Here is a 19,897-nt window from a genome sequence, read left to right as displayed (position 1 = left end):
GCATAGGTGACCCATTTGTACAGGTGACCCATTTGCACAGGTGACAGCCTGATGTGCCCAGTGCACAACTTGGGAAGCTGCACTCTAGCCACCATGGGTTACTGTCCTCACACCCTTCCTATTTTCCCATTTGTTCTCTGCATCTCCCTCCAGAATGTTCCATGAGGGTGTGGTCATCTGTCTGTGGCTCAATGCCCAGAGCAGAACTGTCATCCCTAAGAGGTGTTTAGTGACTGTTTGTTGAGCCAGTGCCTGGGCAGCGGCACCCTGTGGCCGGGTCTGAGGGGCAGCCTGGAGCCCCGTCCTGGCTCCCAGATGCAGCAGGCCCCTTGCCAGGCAGTGCCAGCCCCTGGGCCTGCTGATGAAAGGCGGCATCCCCGGGGGTCTGTGGCTGGAGGGCAGAGGGAGAGCCTGGGACTCCCGGGCAGGCCAGCTGCGAGGGATGGACATGAAGGTTCCTTCCAGTCCAAACCGGCTGGAAATCAGAAAATGATATTTGGGGCAGCAACAATTCAGTGATTTCACTGTATGGGGAGTGAAGCTGGGGAGAGGAGTGAGGAGGGGGACAAGGCCTCAGTGAGGGGTGGTATGTGCTGTCCAGTGCTGGGCGGGGGCCACCAGCCCAACCATGGTCCAGGCCTCGGTGTTTGGCCCGGCTTCTTCGGGGACACTGCCTCCTGCCCACGGCTCCTCCCAGCCCTGTGCCTTGACCCCTGACCTCCCCGCCTCACCCCTGCTGGGCCCCTTTTTCTTTGTCCGTGGAGCCCCTCCCCAGCATGCCCAGCCACCCCCGTGGGCCTTGTCCATGGCTCTGCCCTGCAAATGACAGTGCCTTAGGCCCCAGGACCGGCTGATGGTGGCTTCCTTGGTGAGACCTCAGTTCTCCCAGCTGCTCCTCTGTGCTGCCGCCCAACCTGACGGAGATTTCCCTGGATGACGTTGGGGGAAACTCCCCTGGTTTTCCCTGAAAACCCAGCTCAGCTCTAAAATTCAGGCACCACCTCCCTGCCAGATGCCTCTCGGGACACCTGGAAAGACTCCGGCCCTTTGAGGTTTACTCTGCTGGGCTCACTGCCTGGAGCAAAGCCTGTGGTCAGTTCCTGGTTATTTGTTGGTTTTACTGAGGCCCTTGCCGCGTCCCTGGGTTGCAATGATTTGTGAACTCGTCCTCCTCTCCACCAGGCTGTGAGCCTCCGGGGCAGAGCAGGTTCCTCCGCATGGATTCCTCCCCAGCTTAGCGTGGGCTGGCGTGGGGTGTGCACTCCGTGCACTGGGTGTCGGTGCTGGTGCGGGGAGAGGTGGAAGAGAGAGCAGCTGGAGGGAAGAGTGTGGCTCTAGAGTCACACTCTAGAAGGGGGGTTGTTGTGGGGCTCCAGGGAGGGTGGCAGCTGCCTCCGTGCTCCAGGCCAGCTCTTGCCAAAAGCACGGGCCATTCTGGTCCTCTCTGCTTGCTGGCCCTGGCCGTGGGCTTGGCCCAGGCCAATCTGGGCATGGAGGCTTGCTGGGGCTCTGGCTGCCCTCAGTCTGGCCGGGCAGAGTTCAGGCTCTGAGTCTGCGGTGCTGCCAGGAGAGAGAGCTGCAGACCTGGGAGCATCTCACAGCCCAGGGGAGCAGCAGCAGGGACTCAGGGTTCCAGGTGGAGTCCCAAGCTATTCAAGACAAAAGGGGGGCTTTTGGCTGCCCCGGCTGGCAGGCGTAGGGATGGAGCATACCCCTCAGATTGGAACCAGTGCCTTTGCCATCTCTGGTGGTCACTTGGACTTTTCCAAATGGCAAAGGATGTGGCCACCAACTACTCAAGGTCACACTCTGACAGCTCAAATCCACAGAAAGACAGAGGTCCTCTCTCTCTCCAATGCCGGCATAACATCCACAGAAGGCTTCTGACTGGCATGGCCAGGTCATGCATCTTCTCTGGCAGGGGCGTGGGAGGCAGGGCTGGCAGCCGCAGTGGAACCACCCAGAGGGGAGAGGGTGTTCTCAAAGTCGAGTGAACGCGTTCACCACAGGGAGAAGCAGGGAGGGGTCTGGGCAGACCAAACCGCAGTGTCCAGGCCAACACAGGCTGTGGCTCCAGGGGCATTGGGGAGGGGCTGAACCAGATTCTGAGACAGGACAGAGGGAGCAAGAGGTCCAGGTGTGCCCCGTCTCTCCTGCTCCTTCCTGGGCAGCGCCCAGCTCTGGACACCAGTCCCAAGTCTCCAGGAGTCTCTGGGTCTATCCGGGACCCGGGCTGAGGAAGCAACCCCATCTGGGACACGCTGCTCTTGTGTTACAGGGAAAGAGCGAGAGACAGACCCCAACCGCGCAATAGTGTTGACATTAAAAAAACAACAAGTTTATTTTCTAATTTGCATACAGCAAAATTAACTTTTTTGCATGCAGTTTTGACAAATGCATAGTCACATAACCATTACCACAGTCAAAATGCAGAACCGTTCCATCCCTTCCCCTGCCCACACCAATTCCAGTGCAGTGAAAGCCGCCCCTTCCCCTTAACCCATGGCACTCAGGATCTGTGCTCCATCCCTATCGTGTCCATGACATTCTCCGGAATGTCATACGAACAGGATGACGCAGTGCGCGGTTTCTGACCTGGCACCTTTCGCTTGGCGTAATCCCTCTGAGATGTGTCCACATTGTGGTGTGAACTGATGCTTCCTCTTTTCGTCTTGCTGAGTGACACTTCATCGCGTGACCGTATTGTAGTCTATTAATCCACTCTCCACTTGAGGGACATCTGGGTTGCTTCCAGTTTGAGCGATCGTCAATAAAGCTCCTCTAACCATTGACATTCGGGCGACTGTGGCAACACAGGTTTCATTTCGCCTGGGTAAGTGTCCAGGATGGTGACTGCTGTGTCCTGTGGCAAATGCGTGCGGAATGCTACGGGACGCTGTTAACCATTTTTCACACATTCTCACCAGCAACGCAGGAGAGTTCTGGTCACTTTGCAGCCTTGCTGGCATTTGGTACTGTCAGGGATTTCGTTTCGTTTTTAATTTTAACTCTTCTCACCAGTGTGGAGTGGTACCTCACTGGGGGTTTAATGTGCATTTTCCTAATGCGTGATGATGAGCAGCTTTTCAAGTACCTGTATTTTTAAAAAAAATTTATCTCTGACGGGGAGCGGTGGCTCATGCCTGTAATCCCAGCACTTTGGGAGGCTGAGGTGGGCGGATCACCTGGGTCAGGAGTTTGAGACCAGCCTGACAAACATGAAGAAACCCCATCCCTACTAAAAAAATATATATAAATATATATAAATAAATATATAAATATATATAAATATATGTATAAATATATATAAATAAATAAATATATGTATAAATATATATAAATAAATATATAAATGTATAAATATATGTATAAATATATGTATAAATATATATAAATATATAAATATATAAATATATATAAATATATAAAAATATAAATATATAAATATATATAAATATATAAAAATATAAATATATAAATATATATAAATATATAAGTATATATAAATATATAAAAATATATAAATATATAAATATATAAAAATATATAAATATATAAATATATAAAAATATATAAACATATAAATATGTAAATATATATAAATATGTAAATATATATAAATATATAAATATATAAATATATAAATATACATATAAATATATATAAATATATATAAATATATATAAATATATAAATATATAAATAAATATATAAATATATATAAATATATAAAATATATAAATAAATATATAAATATATATAAATATATAAATATATAAATATATACAAAAATATAAAAATATAAATATAAAAATATATAAATATATATAAATATATAAATATATATAAATATATAAATATATATAAATATATAAATATATATAAATATATAAATATATATAAATATATAAAAATATATATAAATATATAAAAATATAAAAATATATAAATATATATAAATATATAAATAAATATATAAAAATATATAAATATATAAATATATAAAACCATAAATATATATAAATATATAAAAACATATAAATATATAAATATATAAAAATATAAATATATATATATAGATATACATAAATATAAATATATATAAATATATAAAAATATATATAAAATTAGCTGGGCGTGGTGGTGCATGCCTGTAATCCCAGCTACTCAGGAGGCTGAGGCAGGAGAATCGCTTGAACCGGGGAGGTGGAGGTTGCAGTGAGCCGAGACCACGCCATTGCACTGCAGCCTGGGCGACAGAGCAAGACTCCTCAAAAAAAAAAATTTCCGTAGGTTATTGGGGTACAGGTGGTGTTTGGTGACATGAGTAAGTTCTTTAGTGGTGATTTGTGAGATTTTGGTGCACCCATCACTCAAGCGGTATACACTGCACACCCGCTTCCCACCCTTTCCCCGAGTCCCCAAAGTCCATTGTGTCATTCTCCAAAGTCTACTGTGTCATTCTTATGCCTTCGCATCCTCATAGCTTAGCTCCCACTTAGAGTGAGAATATACGATGTTTGGTTTTCCATTCCTGAGTTACTTGACTTAGAATAATAGTCTCCAATCTCATCCAGGTCGCTTCGAAGGCCATTAATGTATTCCTTTTTATGCTGAGCAGTATTCCATTGTGTGTGTGTGTGTGTGTGTGTGTGTGTGTGTGTGTGTGTGTATCTATATATATATATATGCCACAGTTTCTTTATCCACTCATTGATTGATGGGCATTTGAGTTGTTTCCACAATTTTGCAATTGCGAATTATGCTGCTATAAACATACATGGGCAAGTATCTTTTTTGTACAGTGACTTTTTTTCCTCTGGGTAGATGCCCAGTAGTAGGGTGGCTGGATCAAATGGTATTTCCATTTTTAGTTCTTTAAGGAATCGCCACACTGTTTTCCATAGTGGGTATACTAGTTGACATTCCCACCAGCAGTGTAGAAGGGTCCCCCGTTCACCGCATCCACGCCAGCTTATTTCAAGTACTTATTTGCCATGTGCTTATATCTTCATTGGTGAAGTGTCTGTTCAAACTTTTTGCCCATTTTATTATTGAATTAATAATATGCTTATTATTGGGCTTTAAGAGTTCTTTATGGCAGGTGCGGTGGCTCACGCCTGTAATCCCAGCACTTTGGGAGGCCAAGACGGGGGGATTGCTTGAGGCCAGGAGTTCATGACCAGCCTGGGCAACGTGGTGAAACCCTGTCTCTACAAAAAATACAAAAATTAGCCAGGCATAGTGGTGCCCACCTGTAGTCCCAGATACTCAGGAGGTTAAGGCAGGAGGATCCTTGGAGCCCAGGAGGTCAAGGTTGCAGTGAGCCATGATCACTCCTCTGCACTTCAGCCTGGGAGACAGAGTGAGACCCTGTTTAAAAAAAAAAAAAAGTTCTCTATATATTCTGGATACAAGTCCTTTTACAGATTTGTGGTTTATAAATATTTTCTCCTAGCCTGTGGTTTGTCTTTTTGTTCTCTATAACAATGTCCTTTTGCCAGGTAAACTTTAATAAATTAAATGTATCATTGTTTTCTATTATGGATCCTGCTTTAGTGCAGCCGTCCTCAACCTTTTTGGCAGCAGGGACCAGTTTCAGGGAAGACCATTTTTCCAGGGTAGGAGGATGGTTTCTGGATGAAACTGTTGCACCTCAGATCATCAGGCATTAGTTAGATTCTCATAAGGAGTGCACAACCTGGATCCCTCACATGCGTGGTTCACAACGGGGTTCTCACACCTAAGAGAATCTCATGCAGCCGCTGGTCTGACAGGAGGTGGAGCTCAGGACGTAATGCTCGCTGGCCCACCACTCACCTCCTGCTGTGCGGCCTGGCTCCTAACAGGCCATGAAAAGGTACTGCTCTGTGGCCTAGGGGGTTGGGGACCCCTGCTTCAGTGGGTGTATATAAGAAAAGTTCACTTAACTCAATGTCCCAATTATCTCTCTCTAAAAGTTTTATAGTTTTACGTTTTACATTTAGGTATGTCATCTATTCGAGTTAATTTTGTATGAGGTGTGAGGTGTGGTGGCAGCCCCTGGTTTTTCATGTCTTGTCTAATTGTTCCAGCACCATATGTTGAAAAGACAATCCTTTCCTATTGAATTGCCTTTGCACCGTTGTCAAAAATCAGTTGGTCATATGTGCGAGTGGCTGTCTTCCTGGACCTTCTACTCTGGGCCACACTGATTTGATTGTGTAGCTTTATAGTAGCTACTTACTATAAAATTAGGTAGTGTGGGCCGGGCTCAGTGGCTCATGCCTGTAATCCCAGCACTTTGGGAGGCCAAGGAGGGTAGATCACCTGAAGTCATGGGTTCGACACCTGCCTGGCCAGCATGGTGAAACCCCCATCTCTACTCAAAATACAAAATTAGCCGGGTGTGGTGGCACATGCCTGTAATCCCAGCTACTTAGGAAGCAGAGGCAGGAAAATTGCTTGAACCTGGGATGTGGAGGTTGCAGTGAGCCGAGATTGCGCCATTGCACCCCAGCGTGGGCAACGAGAGCAAAACTCTGTCTCAAAAAAAAAAAAAAAAGAAAGAAAAAAAATTGGGTAGTATGTGTACCTCACCTTTATTTTTCTCAGTCACTTCCTACTCTTAACCTTTTGCATGGAGATAATTTTAGATTTACAGAAGAGTTGTGAGAATACTACAGGTATTTCCTGGACACCTTTCATCCAGTTTCCCCTAACATTAACATCTTATGTAGCCATAGTATAATGATCATACTAAGAAATTAACATTGATACATTGCTATGATTAAAGTAGAGATTTCAACAGTTTTTCCACTAAAGTTCTTTTTTGTTCAAAAATTGAATGATTCCACATTTTTTTTTTTTTGAGACGGAGACTCACTCTGTCGCCCAGGCTGGAGTGCAGTGGCTCCATCTCCGCTCACTGCAAGCTCCGCCTCCTGGGTTCAGGCCATTCTCCTGCTTCAGCCTCCCGAGAAGCTGGGACTACAGGCGCCTGCAACCACGCCTGGCTAATTTTTCGTATTTTTAGTAGAGACGGGATTTCACCGTGTTAGCCAGGACGATCTAGATCTCCTGACCTCGTGATCCGCCCACCTCGGCCTCCCAAAGTGCTGGGATTACAGGCGTGAGCCACCGCGCCCGGCCAAATGATTCCACAACGCATGTAGCTTTTGAGTCTCCTCCATCTCCTGCAACCTCTGACGGTTCTTCAATCTTTCCTTGTCTTTTATGAAAAGACTTGGAAGTTATTTTGTAGACAATTTCTCAGCTTGGGTTTGACTGATGTTTTCTCATGGTAACACTGACGCCTTGAACTACTGGGAAGAGCTGCATTAGAGATGTACCCTACATCAGGGGCCATCCCATGTGTCTTGATGATGCAAGGCAGGTGAGCCCCGAAATTGGGGTTCGGCCCAGGAAGGTCCTTAGCTTCACCCAGGAAAGAATTAAAGGGCAAGCCGGTGGTTTTAGCAGTTAGTTTTCGAAACAGGAGCAGAAGTACTGCAGCAGAAGTACTGCTCCTTTGCAGAGCAGGGCTACCCCACAGGCAGTGTGCCCAGAGCAGCAGCTCAGAGGCAGATCTGCGTGATCTCAGCTCACTGCAACCTCTGCCTCCCGAGTTCAAGTGATTCTCCTGCCTCAGCCTCCCAAGCAGCTGGGATTACAGGCGCCACCACGCCCGGCTAATTTTTGTATCTTTAGTAGAGGTGGTGTCTCACCGTGTTGGCCAGGCTGGTCTCAAACTCCCGCCCTCAGGCGATCCACCCGCCTTGGCCTCCCAAAGTCCTGGGATTACAGGCATGAGCCACCGTGCCCGGCCCTGCGCTCATATTTATAACCAGCTTTAATTATATGCAAATTAAAGGGTGAATTATGCAGAGTATTCTAGGAAAAGGGTGTTAACTTCCTGGTCCTTAGGTTGCTGCCATGGAAGGGGGGTGGTAACTTCCGGGTGTTGCCATGGCAATGATAAATTGACATGGCACTGGTGGGCGTGTCTTATGGAAAGTGGCTTGCTTCCCTGTCCTGTTTTAGCTAGTCCTCAATTTGGTCCGGCGTCCAAGCCCCACCTCCTACCTCATTATCACTGGTGATACTCGCTGTGATTCTTGAGTAAGGTGGTGGCCGCCAGGTTTCTCCTCTGCACAGTTAGCTGTTTTTCCTTTGTCACTCCTAAAATTTTGGAAGAGATACTTTGATGCTGTGCAAGCGTCCTGCTCCTCCTGAAACTTCTGAGGCAGGAAAATAGGGTCTGAAAACAGGGAGCCTTCACTTCAGCCTCTAATTGGTTGTGGGCCAAGTTTAGTTGCATAGGGTGTAACTTCATTTCAGCCGCTGATTGGTCAAAGGCCAAGTCTTCATTTACATAGGGTGTAACCAATAGGAAACCTCTACAGGGTACTTAAACCCCAGAAGATTTTGCTACTGGGTTCTTGAGCCACTTGCTGGAGTCCGCTTTCACCCTGTGGAGTATGCTTTCACTTCAATAAATCTGTGCTTTTGTGGCTTTGTTCCGTCATTGTTTTGTTGGTGTCGTTTGTCCAATTCTTTGTTCAACAAGCCAAGAACCTGGACAACCTGTAGTCAAAACCCTCCACCAGTAACACTTCTGCCTACTAATCTTGGCATTCAGCAGTGGACCTCCCTGTAGTAGTTACGACTGCGATGTTCTAATGGTGATGGTCTATTTTCCTAATTCTTTCTATAGCTCCTATTTGGAATTCTCCTGGAAGAAAGAATGGTCCCTTCTCCATCTATTACTTCGTTTATTTATTTAGTTCATTATTCATGATATCAGTATGGACTCGGGTTGTTTATTTTATTATTTGGGTTCAAATCCAGTATTTTGTCTATTTTGATGCTTAAATTGTTCCAGCGCTCCTGTGCTTTAACATGTGCCCATCTCTTTTTTCAGACCGATTCTCTACCTTCTAGCACCCTAAGATGTTCTAAGCTCACCTTGTTCTTTTTCTCCTGCACTTTTTCACATGCTTGTTTGTTATCTGTACGTCCTTTTCAATGACTTGTTGGTGTAAATCTTTCCCCCTTTTAAAAAGCTCTGTTTGTTGTCTTCATTTTGACCTTTGAGAGCTTTTAAAAAAAATTACAGTAGTCTCCCGTTATCTGCGGTTTTGCTTTCTGTGGTCTCAGTTGCCCATGGTATATAATACAGTGAGATATTTAGAAAGAGAGAGAGGAGACAGGGAGAGAGGGGTGGAGGGTAGAGGAAAGGGGGGAAAGAGAGAGACCACATTCACGTAATTTTTATTACATCATATTGTCATAATTGCTCTATTTTATTACTACTTACTGTTGTTAATCTCTGTCTGTCCCTAATTTACAGATTAATCTATATCATAGATACATATGTAGAGGAAAAGCATAGTGTATATCACCGTCCGTGAAATCACTGTCCGTAATTTCAGGCATCCACTGGGGGTCTTTGCATGTATCCTCCTCAGATAAGAAGGTGGGAGGACTGCTGTATATATATTCTGGATATTGTGTTTTGTCAGAAATGTGATTTGAAAACATAGTCTCTCGGCCTGTGGCTTGTTTTTTCATGCTCTTAATAGTTTTTTTTTTTTTTAACTTGTTTACATAGAAGTTCCAGATTTGGATAAGGTTGAACTTATCAGCGCTGTTCTTTGGTGCATGATGTTATTTGGTCTTCTCTAGGCACTCTGCCCAATTCATGGCCACACTGACTTTTCTCCTATGTTTTCTACTAGAAGTTTTAAAGTTTTATACATTTTACAAATGTTCCAATTTGATTTGATTTTGTTATAAGGGTTAAAGACTAAGCTATTTAATTTCACATGAATGCACAATTTCCTCAGCATATTTGTTGAAAAAATTGCCATGTTTTTCTATTCAATTTCTTTTGCCCCTCTGTCAAAAAACATGTGACAGTATTTCCCTGGATCTATCTGTGGGCTTTATTCTGTTCTGATGACCTGTATGTCTGTCCTCACACTAAGACCACACTGTTTTGATTACTATAGCTTTGCAGCAGGTCTCTAAATTAGGTGGTGTGAGTTCTCCAACTTTGTTCTCCTTTTACAAACTTCTAGTGGAGGCTCTATTAGTTAATTTGCTTTTCCATAGACAGTTTTGATTCAACGTGTGTTATCCAAAAAACAAGCCTGCTGGCATTGCATTAAACCTATAAATGAAATTGTACAGAAGTGACATCTTAACAATTCTCAGTCTTTCTTGCTATAAATCTCACTATTTAGTTCTTGTTTGATTTCTTTTATCAATGTTTGTAGTTTTCAGCATGCAGACGTTGCATACTTAAAAATTTATACTTTGGTTGGGCGCGGTGGCTCATGCCTGTAATCCCAGAACTTTGGAAGGCTGAGGTGGGTGGATCACTTGAGGTCAGGAGTTCAAGATCAGCCTCACAAACGTAGTGAAACCTCTTCTCTACTAAAAATATAAAAATTAGCTGGGTATGGTGGTGTGCACCTATAATTCCAGGACAGAAATGCTTGAATAGGAATGGTGAGAGAGGACATCCTTGCCTTGTTTCTGATATTGGGAAAAAACATTCACCTATAAGTTTAACATTAGCTGTCAATGTTCTTTTTCACATCAAGAAGCTCCCTATTACTTACAGTTTGTTGAGAATTTTTTTCGTCATCAATAGATTTTGAATTTTATCAATTACTTTTCCTTCATTTACTGAGATAATTACATGGCTTTTCTTCTGTAGTATATTAATATGATGTATCAGGTTAAATTAAAATTTTGTAACCTCCTTTGTATTTCTGGGATAAAACATGATCGTGCTAATACTGTATTGAGAGTTTGCACACTTTATTCATGTGAAATATTGGTCTGTAATTTTCTCTCTCTTGCAGTGTATTTGTGTGGATTGATATTGGGGTATTGCTGGAATTATGAATTGGGAAATGTTTTTCCTATTTTATTTTCTGGGAGAGATTGTGTTGAATTGATACTGTCTCTTTCTTAAACATTTGGTAGAATTCTCCAGCAAAATCAGCTGGGACTGAAGTTTTCTTTTTTCCTCTAAGCACTGCTTTAACTGTATCCGTCAAATGTTGGCATATTTTATTTTCATTTTAATATCACTTTAAAATATTTTTAAATTGTTCTTGACACTTGCTCTTTTATCTATGGGTTATTATAAGTGCATTGTTTAGTTTATAAGTGTTTTTTTCTTCTACCTTTCTGTTATTGATTTGTAGTTTACTGTTATGGTTAAAGATTAAAAGGTTTATATTCTTTTAGATTTGCTGAAATTTGTTTTATGGTCCAGATGCAATCTCCTGTTATTGGGTGGAGTCTGTATATGCCAATTAGGCCTAATAGTGTTGTTCAAGTCTTTGTTCTTACTGATTATCTGTTTACTTTTCTGTCCATTCCTGAGACAGAGTTGACATCTCCAACTATAATTGTGTGGATTCATCCATTTCTCATTCCAGTTCCATCAGTTTTTGACTCATGTATTTTGAATCTGTTGCTAGTTGCATACACATTTAAGATTGTTATATTCTTGGAGAATTGACTCCTTCATCGTTATGTAATGTTTCTCTTTATCTTTGACAGTATTCCTTTCTCTAAAGTCTACCTTGTCTGATATTAATATAGTTACTCCAGTTTTCTTTTGCTTAGTGTTTGCATGATCTGTATTTTCTTTTCCTTCACTTTTTGTAACACATTTATTATATCTTTATATTTCAAGCAGGTTTCGTATGTACAGCACGCAATCGAAACAATCACATCTGACAATCTCTGCCTTTTATTTGGTATGTTTATACAATTCATAAGTAATGTGATTATGGATATGGTTTGATTAAAATCCATCATTTTACTTACCATTTTCTATTCTATTTTTTCTTCGTTTCTTTTTTCCCATTTTTTTGGCCTTCTCTTTCGTCAACTGAGCAATTTTTATGATTCCATTTTATCTCCTCTACTGACTTATTATTTATACCTCTTCGAAAACCTTTTAGTGGTTGACCTTTGCCTCAAATGTACATCTTTAACTAATCAGAATCTACCTTCAAATAATATTGTACCACCTTGTATGTAGTATAAGGACTTTAAAATAGCATATTCCGAATTTCTTCTTCCTGGCCTTTGTGCTGTTGCTGTCACACCTTTACTGTTATATATGCTATAAACACACAATACGGTGCAACCTTTTTTTTTTTTTTGAGACAGAGTATCACTTTGTGGCCCAGGCTGGAGTGCAGTGGTGCGATCTCGGCTCACTGCAAACTCTGCCTCCCGGGTAAACGCCATTCTCCTGCCTCAGCCTCCCGAGTAGCTGGGACTGCAGGTGCCCGCCACCACGCCCGGCTAATTTTTTCTATTTTTTAGTAGAGACGGGGTTTCACCGTGTTAGCCAGGATGGTCTCAGTCTCCTGACTTCGTGAGCCGCCCGCGTCGGCCTCCCAAAGTGCTGGGATTACAGGCGTGAGCCACTGCGCCCGGCCTGTTTTAAATGTTTTTTTTTTTTTTTTAGAGCAATTAGAAACTAGAAAAAAATAAATTTAATTTTACCTTCATTTATTCCATTTCTAGCGCTCTTCATTTCTTTGTGTAGAGCTAAGTTTCAGTTACTATCCTAGTCCTTCCACCTGAAGAACTTCTTCAGCATTCTCTTTAGAGTAGGTCTGCTGGAAATGCATTTTCTCCATTTTTGTTTCTTTGAGAAATTTATTATGTCTCCTTCATTTTTGCGAAGATATTTTTCTCGGAGTTAACTGGTTTTTTTTGTCCTCCAGCACTTTAAAGATTCACTCCATTGTTTTCTGTTTTGCATGATTTCTGATGAGAACTCTGTTGCAAATTGCGCGTTTACTCTTCCATAATGCTTGCCCGCCACCCTGCCCTGGTCTGGCTCGCTTCAGTGTTATCTTTTTGTCTTTGGTTTCCAGAGCTGGCATATAACATGCCTATGTGTGGTTCTTTGTTTGCTTTCGTTTTGGTGTGTATGCTAGCTGGTGTTCTCTGAGCTTCTTGGATCTGTCTTCTGGTGTCTGTTGTTCATTTCAGTAAATTTCTGGTCATTATTTCTTTAAATACTTCTTCTGCTCATTCTCCCTCTTCTACTTCTAGGATTCCAGGTATGCGTATGTTAGGAGTTTGATATAGTCTCCTAGCTCTTGGATGTTCTAGTCCATGTGATGCTCATTCTTTTTTCTCTTTTTTCCAGTTTGGGTAATTGTTTTTGACTCGTCTTCAAGGTCAGTGATTCTTTCTCAGCTGTGTAGCATCTACTGATGAGCCCATTGAGGGCACTCTTCCTCTCTGTCTCTGTGTTTCTCATTTCTAGCGTTTCCATTTGATTCTCCCTTACAGTTTCCATCTCTCCGTTGAAATAACCCATCTGATCATGCACTGTCCCCTTTCTTCATTACAGCCTTCAACAGAGTAATCATAGTTATTAAAATTTCCTGCCCAGTATTTCCAACATGTGTATTCTTTATCTCTTATGAGTGTGATTTTTTTTCCCTTGTCTTTTTGTATGCATCAGAATTTTGTGTTAAAAGCCAGGCATCTTATACGGGCACAACTTCCTCCTACCGGACCCTTTGTAGGAGGTTTAAGTTAATCTAGTTAGGAGCTGGGCTAGGTTTGAGATGTGTTACTGTGATCACTCTAACTGCTTCAAGCAGCTGCATAGATAGTCTGTGTTTAGCAACGTATGACTCTGAATTCTAGGTTTTCCTTTTGCACTGTGCTTCAGAGAGATTTCCTATGCTGGTTCCCTTCTCCTCTCCCTTTCTCGGCATCGTTCTGCTGTTTCTGGTGTTGCAGATCTTATTAGCTTGGTGGCAGGAGGTGGAGGTGAGTGCGCTTGCCGAGGCTCTGGATAAGCCTTAGTCTTAGGTTTACTGTGGCCCTGGTTCTTGGGATTGTGGCCTTCTCGGATCTTCTGCTCTTTTTCTAGCCATGGTTGTGGGCTCAGTCCTCAATCCTGTCACCCTCCCTGAAGAGTAAAGTCCTCTTTCCCCAGTCTCCTTTAGCTGCAATGCGTTTTCACTGATGTCCTGCTCAGGTTTAGGCTCTTGTACCTTGATGGACAGTGGGGAGAAGGGCCTGGCTGGAATTTCACACCAGTTCCATGTGGCTGCTCAACCCCTCTCCGAGGTCCACCACAGTGGACAAAACTTGGGGACTTTTCCAGACTTTTCTGTGAGCATCCAGCGGGGTTTGTGAGACAGAGCCAGTAGATGATGGGGAATCCTCCAAATTCTGCAGCCGCAGGAGTCTACCCTGTCCTGCCAGCCTGCATGCCTTCACCAATTTGCCTGCCATTCCTGCTGAACTCTTCTTACCAACGTGCCATCGCAAATTCCCAGTGAGTGTGCTCAGTCTCCTCTCTGAGCAGGTGTGGGCTTGGCTCCGAGGGCCCTGCTGCCTGCTCATGGCAGTGCCCGGGACGGTGCCGCAGCCCCTGCCCAGTGCCCAGAGAGCAACGCTGACGTCCAGAGGCTCAGCCCTGTCCTTGTGAGAGCCTCCCACACAGGGCCTGCATGGCGGTCTCCCTTATTATGACCACTTTTGGGGCACAGGAACCAAGGTGCAGAGAGGTTTAGGCATTCACCCTAAGGGCCTCAGCACCAGCCACATCTCAAGCCTGCCGGCCTGGCCCCAATGCCTTGGCCTTTCCTACCTTCTCCTTTGCCACACCATGTGGGAGGCAACAGCACATCCAGGAGCAGGGCTGGGCCGTCCCACCCCCCGCCTGGGCAGAGGGGTACCATGGAGCTTAATCTGTCTCGGGGAGGTGACCCGTACGTGGAATCTGTCGGGCAGCCCAAGGCTTGCCAGTTTAAGGATGCACGATTTTACTCCAGGTCAATCATCCCCCAGGCTGCCCGAGGCTTTGGAGCTTGCTGAACAAACTCCTGTTCTCTTCCCACGGACTGACTCATCTGGAAGCTTCCATCTGGGTAGTGGGCTGGGCTAGCTCTGGGAGGCCACGTGGCGTCCACCCCAGATGATTTCGCGCACCCCCTACAAGGGCTATGCCATTCAAAGAACACGCCTGAGCCTCCGGCTTCCTCCGAATAATGAGGCTGTTGTTACGCAAGGGCCCGGGTTAAATTGCCCCCAAACGGGGACTGGGATGCGCTTACTGCTGCGCTGCTGCTCGGTCAGCCAGCGTCTGGGATGGGAGCGCTCCTGCATTTTACATGACTGCGGGGCCTGTTCCTTGCGCCTGTCTGGTCGCGTCACATCATGGAGGGTTTCTCGGGGCGGCCGGCCGCCTCTGAGCACAGCCAGGGTGGTGTTTGCAGCACAGCTGCTGCCTAGGCCTCGCTGCGGAGGTGCTGGGCCACGGCCCCGTGGAGGCAGAGCCGCAGGGCCATCGACATGTCCTTTGAAAACGGGCATTTCCCCAACTCATGCAGGTGGAGGGGAGAGCGAAGCCAAATGGGACACCGGCCCCCACACACTGCCCCGGCTCCTGCATTTCCGGAGATGGAAACCTGGAGAGCAGCTGGGTATGGCGCATGATTGCCTGAACCATATGAAGGCTGGCGCTGTATGTGTGAACGCATGTGTGGCGGAACATGTGTGCGCCTGCACCTGTGTGTATGAATGTGTGTGCACATGTGTGCATGAATGCGTGTACCTGGACCTGTATGAATGTGTGTGCACATGTGTATGAATGTGCACATGTGTGTATGAATGTGTGTGCCTGCACCTGTATGAATGTGTCTGCACGTGTGTATGAATGTATGTGCCTGCACCTGTGTGTATGAATGTGTGCACATGCGTATATGAATGTGTGTGCCTGCACCTGTGTGTATGAATGTGTGCACACTTGTGTGTCTGAATGTGTGTGCCTGCACATGTATGTGTGTGCACGTGTGCATGAATATGTGTGCCTACCCCTGTGTGTATGAATATGTGTGCACATGTGTGCATGTATGTGTGTACCTGCACCTGTATGAATGTGTGTGCACATGTGTGTATGAATGTGTGTGCCTGCACCTGTGTGTGAATGTGTGTGCCTGCACATGTGTGTATGAATGTGTGTGCCTGCACCTGTGTGTGTGAATGTGTGTGCCTGCGCATGTGTGTATGAATGTGTGTGCACATGCATGTGTGCCCGCACCTGTGTTTATGAATGTGTGTGCACTGGCATGGAGTGTGCATGTACATGAACGTACGTGTGCATGCGTCTGTGTGTGTGCATGGATCTGTGTGCAAGTGTGTGGAGTGTGCATGTGTATGAATGTACGTGCATGTGTATGAATGTACGTGCATGTGTGCACACGTGTGGAATGTGTGGGTGTGCATGTGAATGTGCACACACGTGTATTGTGTGCATGAGTGTGCACAAGTGTGAGGGTGTATGTGAATGTATGCATGTGTATGTGCATTGGGTGGATTTGTACATGTATGTGCACACATGCGTGTGTGGGCCCACATGTGCATATGTGCATGGTGTGCATATGTGTTTGAGATGGAGAGAGCGCTTCTCGTGGGCACCGTCCATGCCCAGCAGATTCCCAGCAAGTGAATCAATGATTCAATAACTCAATAATTATCAATGAACCAATGACCCAAAGAAGAGGAGGCATTTGACACTCACGGGCCAACACCCAACCTGCTACACAGGGCATCAGACACACCGTGGGGTCATAGCACAGACCTGGATTTCCTATTTCCAAATCGTGAGGATAATGAACATTTTGTTTCTTAGGATCTTGAAAACGTGGGTTGGACTGCGTCACCCCGACCCCTGCCTCAAAGCCCCTCCGTGGTTGCCTACAGCACAGCTTGAAGCCCCTTGGTTCTGCTTCCCGGGCCTGCAGCGCTGGCCCCAGCCTGGCCGAGCGAGCATTTGTTCACCCAAGACCTTTCCCCTCCTGCCCTCGTGGAGCCTCCACAAGGAGTAAACAACCACTTCTGTGAGCCTTGATCTCCCTGTTTGTAAAATGCAGATAAAACGCCTTCCTAGCTGAGCAGTAGGATCGGGGGCCGCCCCCTGCTCAGCATGGGCCTGGGTGCAGGAACAGGAATTTTCTTTCTGCTCTGTGAGCCTATCTTTTCAAGGGTAGGGTCCATGTTTTCTCCATTTCAGGGTCCCTCAAAGCATCAACTCTGTGCCTTGCAGACAGCGGACACGTAACACAGCCACGCGGCGTGAACATGAGCAGACTTCTTTTTTCCAGGATGTGCACGGTTTCCACGACAATGCCCACTGCACGCCTTATGGCCTCACCAGAGACGTAAAGCAGATGCCAAGAAACTTCCCCCCAAAATGGGCTGGCTTGCCAAGCCCAGGACCGCCTGTCCAGCTGGGGCTGGGGGCAAGGATCCCATTTTCTGTGACTCTCTTTGCTCTGATGGTCAGGTTCACCGGCCGTACGTGTAATCTGAAGCATTCGGTAGCGATCTAATTAAATGTTAACACATCATTAAAGTGATTTGCGATAAGCACAGTTAACAGTTTGATAAATCCAGTCCGGGCTGACTCCATGCTGAAAACAATCACTCCCAATCAGGAGTGGGCTGTTGACATCCGCTGAATGTTGAGGGGACCCCCGTACAGCTGCCATGTGCCCAGCCCTGGCGTCGGTGCCCAGGGATGCTGGAAGGGCTGTGTGCGGACGTGGGGTGCTGTGGTGGGATGGGGGCAGCAGTTAATCCCAAGGCCGCTGGTGTCTGGGTGTCCCAGCAGCAGCCTGCACGCCTTGCATGGGATTAAGGAAGATCTTGGTTAACAGTCTGTAATGAAGGCGGCCTCCCGGTTGAAGGCTGTGAACTATTGCTTGTTAATGGGATTAATTGCCTCGGGAAGTAACTCTGCATTTCTGTGCATCTGGTGATGTGGGCAGAGGGATAGGAGCTATTTTTGTTTGAATATCAATACCGTGAGTTGGAGGCAGGGGAGAGATGGCACAGGAGGGAAGCACATTTGCTCAGGGGAGAGAACAGCTTCAGAAAATACAAACGGCCTAGTAGCAAAGCTCTCAATAAAGGACACATAGAGAAGTCCTGAAAGAGCAAAAGGGGCCTACAGAAGATCAGGGCCTGTGGGAGCTGGATGGCACTGGGGGACCATCTTAGGGAATCCTCTTCATTTGACAGCCAGGGAAACTGAGGACCAGAAGGAGAGACAACCTCACCGTGGAGGTGGGGAACTTTAGTGCCAAGGTAGGCCTGGAACCTGGGGAGCCATGTTGCTGGTGAGCAGGTGCAGGCTGTGTCCCCGGAAGGCTGGGCATGGGGTTCAGCTGGAGGCTGGTCCAGGGCCCCAGTGCCCGCCGCCTGGTGGAGTGCAGTGAGCATGACAGGGGGTCAGTGCCCTGGGAGTGCCTCCCCCACACCCTTCACGCGTGGTCTGGCCTTGCTGCGTGATTCCCAGTTCCCGGAAGTGAGGTCAAAGATTCTGATCCGATCTAAGGCTCACTTTTCAATTGCTAGGTCACTCGCCGGCGAGTTCAATTTGACTGAAAGATAACTTACAGAGCACCAACCATGTGCCAGGCACCTGGGTGCGAGGACATTCATGGTGCCTTCCTCTCTCATCTCTACTTGAGACTCCACTCGAGGGAGGGGGCACCACCTCACTCCCTCCTGGACTTGGCCGCATAGGTCTTACAGTGGCGTGACCTGTGCTGGGACCACACACATCACTCCTGACACCTGGGAGCTCTGCACCCTCATCTCTCTGGCTCCTGCTCGTTCCTCCTGTAGGTCACGGCTTCAATGCTGCTCTCCAGAGAAGCCCCCTGACTCCCAAGTCTGGACTAGGTGTCCCCATGTGGTCCCCTGCAGCCTCCACACTTCGCTTAACCCCCTCCACTTCATTTACCTTTCTTACCTGTGTCTTTCTTACCTGACTGTGCACCCCTGCCAAGGCTGCCCAGCCCTGAGGCCAGGGCAGACTACTTCTGGAAGCCCCAGTTTCCTTATCTGTAAAATGTCAGGAGAATAGCCCCTACCTCACAGAGCCATTATAAGAAGAATAATGGAACTTAACTAAATAACTAAAAAGTTACTGAATTAATCCATGTTTACGCTGCTGATAAAGACATACTCGAGACTGGGTAATTTATAAAGTAAAAAAGGTTTAATGGACTCACAGTTCCATGTGGCTGGGGAGGCCTCACAATCATGACAGAAGGTGAAAGGCACGTCTTACCTGGCTGCTGACAAGAGAGAACTTGTGTAGGAGAACTCCCATTTATAAAACCATCAGGTCTCATGAGACTTATTCACTATGATGAGACCAGCATGGGAAAGACTCACCTCCATAATTCAATTACCTCCAACTTGGTCCCTCCTACAACACATGGGATTTGTGGGAGCTACAATTCAAGATAAGATTTGGGTGGGGACACAGCCAAACTATATCAGTTACACAGCAACAAAACCAGCGATTTCTATCTTAGACTAGAGAAATTGGATTGGACAGACTGGCCACTCTAGGATCCTTCCTAGTAGGTTTCTGCTCATTAACTATGCCCCTGATGTTAACATGTACTCTTTCATGTCTTTTCTTTCTCTCAAAAGCTGGGCTAAAATTTTTTAAAAAATCATTACTGGGATTAAGGACTCTGAGAAGTAAATCAAGATGTTTAGTATAGAGAGATCCAAAACCTTCCAGCAGGTGGTTCAAACCAGTTGTTCATTAAACAGTTGTTAAGAGGACTGTGAGACTCAGTGGGGTAAAGGGACTGGTCCTAATTTGCTGGGTTTGACATTAGGACATTAAACTATATGATGAGATGACACCCCATTCACAGAGCTGATAAGACAGTCCTCCTGCTTCGTTAGCTCTACTCAGAGGAGGTGGTCTGGGTTGGGTTTTGAAGGATGAGTAGGAGTTTGCAGTTGAAAATGGGAAGGACATTTCAGGCAGAGGGGCCAGCATGATGAGGATACCAGAAGAAGCATAGCCAGATGG

The 19,897-nt window shown here is 45.6% G+C and overlaps 1 long non-coding RNA gene across 3 annotated transcripts, besides 1 other annotated feature; it reads left to right on the top strand.

The window, feature by feature from the left end:
- LOC101928532 (uncharacterized) lies at window positions 15,100-17,426 on the top strand. Of its 3 annotated transcripts, none has more exons than NR_187903.1 (3): window positions 15,100-15,476; window positions 16,685-16,892; window positions 17,157-17,426. It is a non-coding gene; the product is annotated as an uncharacterized LOC101928532 (long non-coding RNA). The 3 variants fall into 3 exon arrangements; NR_187902.1 differs by having other exon boundaries at window positions 17,099-17,426; NR_187901.1 differs by having other exon boundaries at window positions 17,066-17,426.
- Window positions 17,168-17,695: an enhancer, noted in NCBI's record as "H3K4me1 hESC enhancer chr4:8746853-8747380 (GRCh37/hg19 assembly coordinates)". NCBI's record gives its function as "activates a minimal SCP1, AML or CMV promoter by ChIP-STARR-seq in primed H9 embryonic stem cells {active_cell/tissue: H9 hESC(primed)}" and the evidence as "EXISTENCE:reporter gene assay evidence [ECO:0000049][PMID:30033119]".

This window comes from Homo sapiens, chromosome 4 (genome assembly GCF_000001405.40).
Source record: "Homo sapiens chromosome 4, GRCh38.p14 Primary Assembly".
NCBI classification, from domain to species: Eukaryota; Metazoa; Chordata; class Mammalia; order Primates; family Hominidae; genus Homo; species Homo sapiens.
This window is presented reverse-complemented; position numbering and strand designations above follow the sequence as displayed.